Source organism: Homo sapiens, chromosome 15, assembly GCF_000001405.40.
Source record: "Homo sapiens chromosome 15, GRCh38.p14 Primary Assembly".
NCBI lineage: Eukaryota > Metazoa > Chordata > Mammalia > Primates > Hominidae > Homo > Homo sapiens.
The window spans coordinates 25,597,332-25,605,508 of record NC_000015.10 but is presented as its reverse complement, the minus strand read 5'-3'; positions in this window follow the sequence as shown (position 1 = coordinate 25,605,508).

The window sequence follows — 8,177 nt, the reverse complement described above, 5'->3', positions numbered from 1 at the left end:
ACAGAAGCCCCATGGGGTAACCACAAAGAAAAAAATTCTATAGAAGATACACAAAAGATAAAGACAAAAGAGTCAAAGCATATCACTGCAAAAGATTTAAACCACAAAGAAGTAAGGCAAGAGAAGAAGAGAGGCACAAGTGAACTACGAAACAGAAGACAGAACACAATGAACAAAATGACAATAGTAAATTCTTACCTTTCAATAATCACTTTAAATGTAAGCAGATTAAACTCACCAGTCAAAAGATGCAGAGTGACTGAATGGGACACACACACACACAAAAATCCAACCATAGATTTAAGGACACATAAACAGAAGTGATGAATGGAAAAATATATTCTATGTGCAAATGGTTACCCTAAGAGAGCAGAGGTAGCCATACTTAAACAAAATAGTCTTTCAGTCAAATACGGTGATTAGAACCAAAGAAGAACATCACATATTGATAAAAGGATTGATTCAACAGGAATATATAACAATTGCAAATATATATGCACCCAGAATTAAAGCACTTAATATATAAAGCAAATATTGACAGACCTAAAGGGAGAAATAGGCAGTAATATAATCATAGTAGGAGACATTTTTTATTTTTTAAGGTCATATTTATTTCTTTAAAATTTTTCTTTATTTTTATTTTTTTAAATTTTTGTGGGTACACAGTTGTTGCATGTATTTATGGAATATATGAGATGTTTTGGTGAGGGCATGCAATGTAAAATGAGCACATCATAGAGTATGGGGTATCCATCCCCTCAAGCATTTATTCTTTGAGTTACAAACAATCCAGTTACACTCTTTAAGTTATTTTAACATATACAATTAAGTTATTGTTGACTATAGTCACCCTATTGTGCTATCAAATAGAAAGTCTTATTCATTTTTTTCATTTTTAGTACCCATTGACCATCCACACCTCCCCACACAAACTCCTACTACCTACCCTTTTAAGTCTCTGCTAACCATCCTTCATAGTAGGAGACTTTAATACCCACTTTCAATAATACATAGATCATCCAGACAGAAAATCAAGAAGGAAACAGCAGACTTGAACAACACTGTAGACCAAATGGACGTAACAGACTTATGCAGAACGTTTCACCTGATGGTAAGAGAATACACATTCTTTTTAAGTGCACACAGAACATTCTCCAGGATGGAATACATACTAAGTCACTAAGCAAATGTTAACAAATTTGAGAAGATTAAAGTAATTCCAAGTACCTTTTCTGACCACAATGGAATAAAACTAGAAATTAGTAACAAAAGGACATCAGAAAAACTCACAAAAACATAGAAATTCAACAACACACTCTTGAACAACCATGGGTTCAGAGAAAACATGAAAAGGGAAATTAAAATGTAAACACACAAGTTAGAACAAAAACACAACGTACCAAAACTTACAGGATACAGCAAAAGCAATACTAAGAGGGAAGTTTAGAGCAATAAATCCCTACATTAAAAAAGAAAAAAGTTCCCAAGTAAACAACCTCAAGGAGCTAGAAAAAGGAAAACAAACTAAATGTAAGATTAGAAAATGAAAAGAAATAATACAGATTAGAGGAGAAATAAGTGATATAGACCAAAAAAGCAATAGAAAAAAATTTGACAAAACTAAAGTTTGTTCTTTGAAAAGAAAATTAACAAACTATTAGAATAAGAAGAAAGAGATGAAACTAAATAAAATTAGAAATAAAAGAGGAGACATCACAACCAATGCTACAGAAATGTTAAGTTTATAATGGACTATTGTGAATAATAATAAACCAACAAATGGGATAACTTAGAAGAAATGAATAAATTCCTAGAGACATACAACTACTATGATTGAATCAAGAAGAAATAGAAAACCTCAACAGATCAATAACAAATAAGGAGAATGAGCCAGTAATCAAACACCTCCTAAAGAAAGGCCCAGAACCAGATGGCTTCACTGGTAAATTCTACCAAACATTTAAAGAAGAATTAATACCAATCCTTCTCAAACTCTCCCAAGAAATAATAGGGAACACTTCCAAAGTTATTTTATGAGTCTAGCATTTACCCTCATACCAAAGCTAGGCAATACATAGCAAGGAAAAAAATTCCATATACTAAGAACAAAATTCCATATACTAAGAACAGATGATCCAAAAAGAAAATTAAGAAAACAACTTTATAACAGAACATATATATGTTATAAATAATATATGTTTAACATATATATAATACTTAGGAGTAAACCTAGCCAAGAAAATGAAAGAATTTACTGAAAATTGTCAACATTGATGAAAGAAATTCATCAGAAGATTGAAATAAGTGGAAAGACATCTCATTTTCATGGATAGAATAATTAATATTGTTAAAACTTTCATACTGCTGAGGCAATCTACAGATTCAATGTAATCCCTACCAAAAGTCTAAAGGTATTTTTACAGAAATGAAAAAAAAAACCCTAAAATTCATATGGAACTAGAAAAGATCTCAAATAGCCAAAGCAATGTTGAAGAATGAAGTGGGAGAAATCACACTTCCTGATTTCAAATTACGTTACAAACTCCAGTAAACAAAACAGTTTGATACTGGCATAAAAATAGGCATATGGATCAATAGAAAAGAATAAAAAGCCCAGAAATAAACCCAGGTATACATAGCTAATGGATTCTTGATGAGGATGCCAAGAATACACAATGGGGACAGGTCAGTCTCTTAAATAAATGGTGTTGGGAAAACTGAATATCCACGTGCAAAATAATGAAATTGTATGCTTTCTTATATGAAACACAAAAATTAACTCAAAATAGATTAATGATTTGAATGTAATAGCTGAAACCATACAACTTCTAGAAGAAAACATGAGGGAAAAGCTTAAGTGGGACAGCAAAGGAAACTATCAACAGCGTAAAAAGCCAACTTATAGGATGGAAGAAAATATTTGCAAACCATATATCTGATAACGGGTTAATTTCCAAAATACATAAAGAGATTCTAAACTCAATAGCAAAAACAAAAACAAAACAGAAGCAAACAAAAAACCTGGTTAAAAAATGAACAAAGGATTGGAATAGACATCTCTCCAAAGAACACCTACAAATGATGGACAACAGGTATACAAAAAGATACTCAGCTTTACCCATCGGCAGGGAAATGCACATCAAAACCACAATCAGATATTATCTTGCACCTATTAGGATGGCTACTATAAAAATATTTATAAATATTAGTGAGGTTTGTATACTGCTGATAGTAATGTAAAATGGTATAGCCATCATGAAAAACAGTATGAAAATTTTTCAAAAAATTAACAATTAAACTACCATATGATCCAGAAATCTCACCTCTGGGTATACATCCATAACAATTGAAGTCAGGATCTTGAAGGGATAGCTGCACTCCCATGTTCACTGCAGGTTTATTCACAATAGCCAACATATGGAAACAACTCAAATGTCCGTTGAAAAATTAACAGATAAAGAAAAATTGGTATATCCATGTAATAGAATATTATCCAGCCTTAAAAAAAAGAAGGAAAGCCTACAGTCTGTGACAACATGAATAAACCTGGAAGACATTATGCTAAGTGAAAGAAGTCAGTCACCTAATTATGTGCAGTTTCTTTTATGCCAATTATACCTCAATAAAGCTAAAAAAAAATGGGGAGGGGGGAGAGAGGACACATGGTTGGTATTACACATGAGAAAGATTGCTTTGAATGTGGTGGGCTGAATAGATTGGGGAGGAGGGGTGCAGGAGATGAGATTATAGGCCAGGATAGAAAGCTGGAGAGAGCAGAAATAGGGTGGGAACCTTGAAAGGATGGCTAGGTCAGACAAGTAGGAGTAGGAAAGGGAGCAGGGCAGAAAGAATGCACACCAGATTGCTTGAAGGTGCAACAGGTTTCTTAAAGAATCAAGATCACGCTTTAATTTAAAAACTTTTTTTATCCATTCTTATTGACAAGTGGCACTTGCCCAGATATATTTTTTTCAGGGTAGAAGTTTGTGATAAATTGAAGTAAAATTAACACAAAAGCTTAACTTATATAAAAGGACCCCAACAGCAGTCACAAGACTGTGTTACTGTAGGTCCTGTGCAGGATTGCAGAGACGTAGCCTAACCTCTACACTAAGGTCTTGCCATGTAGACCAGTCTGGTCTCGAACTCCAGCATTCCTGCCTTGCTTGGCCTCCCAAAGCACTGGGATTATAGGCAAGGCATGAGCCACTGCAACCAGCCAAAGCTTTTTTTTTTTTTTTTTTTTTTTTTTTCACAGACAGGGTCTCACTCTGTTGCCCAGGCTGGAATGCAGTGGCACAGTCATAGCTCACTGCAGCCTTGATCTCCTGGGCTCAAGCTGTCTTTCCACCTCAGTATCTCAAGTAACTGGGACTACAATTGCATATCACCACACCTGACTATTTTTTTTAAAAAAACAGTATTTGTAGAGATAGGGATCTCACTATGTTGCCCAGGCTGGTCTTGAACTCCTGGCCTCAAGCTGTCCACCTGCTTCTGCCTCCCAAAGTGCTGGGATTACAGGGATTACAGATGTGAGTCACCATGTGGGCCTTCCTCCCTTGTTTCTGGCAATGGTGGGTGCTGAGTCTTCTGTAGATTTTAATGACATGACTCAGAGTCTCCTTCCACCCAGTCTCAAAGGACAAGTTGAGTAAGGTGAGTAGCACCCCACATTTCCACGCTCCAAATTGTCTTTTCCATGCTGAGGTTCAGTTCTAAGTGTTGGAACTCTCTTATGAGCCTCCCTTCTCTTGCTCAAGTTAAATTTCTTTTCCTGGCGTTCCTTTGTATATCAGCAAAAAAATTCTTCAAGAGGCCAGAGAACAAACCTGGACTTGTCTACCTAGCAAGAAGTTTGTAGCTTAGACTGACTACCCAAAAGTAACTTGAATGTTAATTTTCTGCCCAATATTTTAGTATAAAAAATTGAAACATAAAGAAGAGCTGAAAAATTACTGCAGTGAACATTCACATACCCACAGTAGTATTCAATATTCCACATTTTGTCGTATTTACTTCTGTATCTGTCTAATCTATCTGTGTGTTTTTTGTTTTGTTTTGTTTTGAGATGAAGTCTTACTCAGTCACCCAGGCTGGAGTGCAGTGGCACGATCTCAGCTTACTGCAACCTCTACCTCCCAAGTTCAAGTGATTCTCCTGCCTCGGCCTCCTGAGTAGCTGGGATTACAGGTGTGTGCCACCACACCCAGCTAATTTTTGTATTTTTAGTAGAGGTGGGGTTTCACCATGTTGGCCAGGCTGGCCTTGAACTCCTGACCTCAAGAGATCTGCCCACTTTGGCCTCCCAAAGTGCTGGGATTACAGGCATGAGCCACTGCCCCTGGCCAACTATCCATGTGTTTTTTGAATCATTAGAAAGTGAGTTGCAGTTGTTACGACACTTCACTGCTTCAGCATGCGTTTTCTAGGAAAAAGAACAGTCTCCTCTGTGACCACAGTAGCATAATCACAATTTTAAAAATTAACCTCAATTTCCTAATATCATCTCATATCCAGTATATACCAACATTTTCCCAGTTGTCTCAGAAATGATTTTATAGCTCAAATTTTTAAAAACATAGAAAGAACCAAGATTCACAGATTGCATTTGGCTGTTTCATGTTCTTAGCCCCTTTTGATTATGACGTTAGAAGAGGCCAGGACAATGTCTCACGAAATGCCCACATTCTGGATTTGTATGGCAGTGTCATCGGTGGCGTCATTTTATTTGGTGCTCTCTTCCCTGTGTTTTCTATAAACCAGAAGTCAGACAAAAAGATTCAGTTAGGTTTAGTGTAAACATTTTCATCAAGTGTACTTTAACTTGACTATTGAAAATATTTCCCAAGCTTTAAAAGCATACCAAATCGGACTTGATAGTTCTAGAAATACCATGAAGTCATGTTGTAACTGTATTGAAGGGCTTTCCTTCATCTTTGTCTGGGTGCCAATACTGTGAGATTACTTTACTAAGCCATCCATGAATATCAGCAGTTAACAATGTTGCTTATAGGCCCCAAAGATGCTTTGAGTCAGAATAACCCAGGAGCTTCAGTCCAGCACTTTGGTTCGAGTTCCTTTAGCAATAAACCCTAAACTGAAAACTTTTTCAGAAACTTCTCTTTCTTTCTACGTTGATGCCTTCTAAGGTTACTTAAAGAAAGGGAATCAAAGTCCATACACAATGTACCCTTTATTTTGGTGTTGCAATAAGTACTCTAGGCATATAAAAACTAATTTCCTGGTTGGGCTCAATAGCTCACACCTGCAATCCCAGCATTCTGGGAGGCCAAGGCAGGAGGATAATTTGAGCCCAGGAATTCAAAACCAGTCTGGGCAACATAGCAAGACCCCATCTCTACAAAAAAAAAAAAAACCAAAAAAACAAAAATGAAAACAAACAGACAAAACACAACTAATTTTCTGTAAACTATAAAAAACCAATAGGGTCAAGAGAGTTTCAGCAGTGGCCTCTTAGGCTGGTTTATGACAGTGGAAAAAATTCTTCAACAGCTTTTTCAAGGCAATACAGACAAGCTAATGTTTGTATACAAATGTAGACCTACCGACGAAAGGAAGCCAGTGCCTACAGGCAGGCCCCAAACCCTCCCTTTACAGAGGCTCTGTGCCTTTCCCTTCCAGAGCACTCTTGCTCTGTAGGTAGAGCATGGTTTAATGTATACGAATCCAAACTAGTCACATTTTTATTGTGTATGTATATATATATATAACATAAAATATATCATTTTAACCAGTTCAGTGACATTGAGTACATTCACATCACCACCATCCATCTCTAGAAATCTTCTTGCAAAACTGAAACTCTCATCTATAACGCACCATTCCCTTCTCCCTAACTCCTGGCAAACACCACTCCGCTTTCTGTCTCCGTGAATTTGACTACTCTAGGTACCTCATATACATGGAATCATACAGTATCTGTCCTTTTGTGAGTGGCTTGTTTTACTTAGCATAATAATGTCATCAAAGTTCATCCATGTTGCAGCATTTGACAGAATTTCCTTCATTTTCAAGGCTGAATAATATTCCCTTTTACGGATATACCAGATTTTGTGTATCCATTCATCCATTGATGGACATTTGAGTTGTTTCCCCACTTTTGGTTTTTGTGAACACTGCTGCTAAGCATGGGTGTGCAAATTCCTGTTCAAGTCCCTGCTTTGAATTGTTTGGAGTATATAACCAGAAGTTGGAATTGCTGGACCATATGGTAATTCTATGTTTAACTTTTTTGGGATAATCATAATTTTTAAGGAAAGTAAATATAAAGTATGGTGAAATCTCTGTAAGTAATAAGGAAGAAACCACAACGTCAAGTCACACATTTCCGTGAAGGCCACCTTTTTCTTCAAGTAAATAGACTCTATGAAGCAGCTCAGTTTCCAAGACTATGGTCTCAGTGAACCCCTGTATAGACCTCATTGGACCTATGGAAATACTCCCGAAGTGGGCCAGGTCTGCAAGGAATGGTCCAGGCACATAAACAGCAAATTATAAGAACCAATAGAATAGATGATCAAAACATTCATCAAAGCTGCCAAATACAGCAAGGCACAAATTCCAGAAAGAGTTTCTTAATAGAAAAAAAAAAAAAGTAAACTTTCAACGCTGTCCCAGATATGTTATCTCAGGAGGAAATCGCATTGGCCCTGAGGACCCAGAAGGCGCATCTGTGAGTTGTGCGGGCCACTTTCTTAATCAAAGGAACAGGAAACACAGCAAGGCAGGAACTGGGCTGGGCTTTTTGCCCGTTTGTTTGTTTTTAATTCCTTTTTAGGCTTTTATGCCTTTCCAAAGTTGTGCCAGAAGTCTGAGAAGAGTTTGATGTTGGCAATAAAATGGAATCTGGAAAAAGAGAATAAACTGCAATTTGAAAGAGGAAGGAGAAGGAGAAGAAGAAGAGATGGAGGAGGACCTGTGGTGACTGAGGAAGTGAGGAGCGTCAGTCTCACAGGGTGTATTCCCTTGTCTGGAATCAGCGCAGTCCCTCTGCTAAGGAATGCCTCCAAAGTCGCTGCTGGTGGAGCAGGAACCGGGATCCAGCGACCACTCGTTCGGAGAGGCCGGCTGAAGGCTCTGCAGCTCCAGGACAGCCGGGAAAAGCCAAAGGCTTGCCGGCTAAGGAATAAGCCCACTCAGACCGCTGTCTCTGC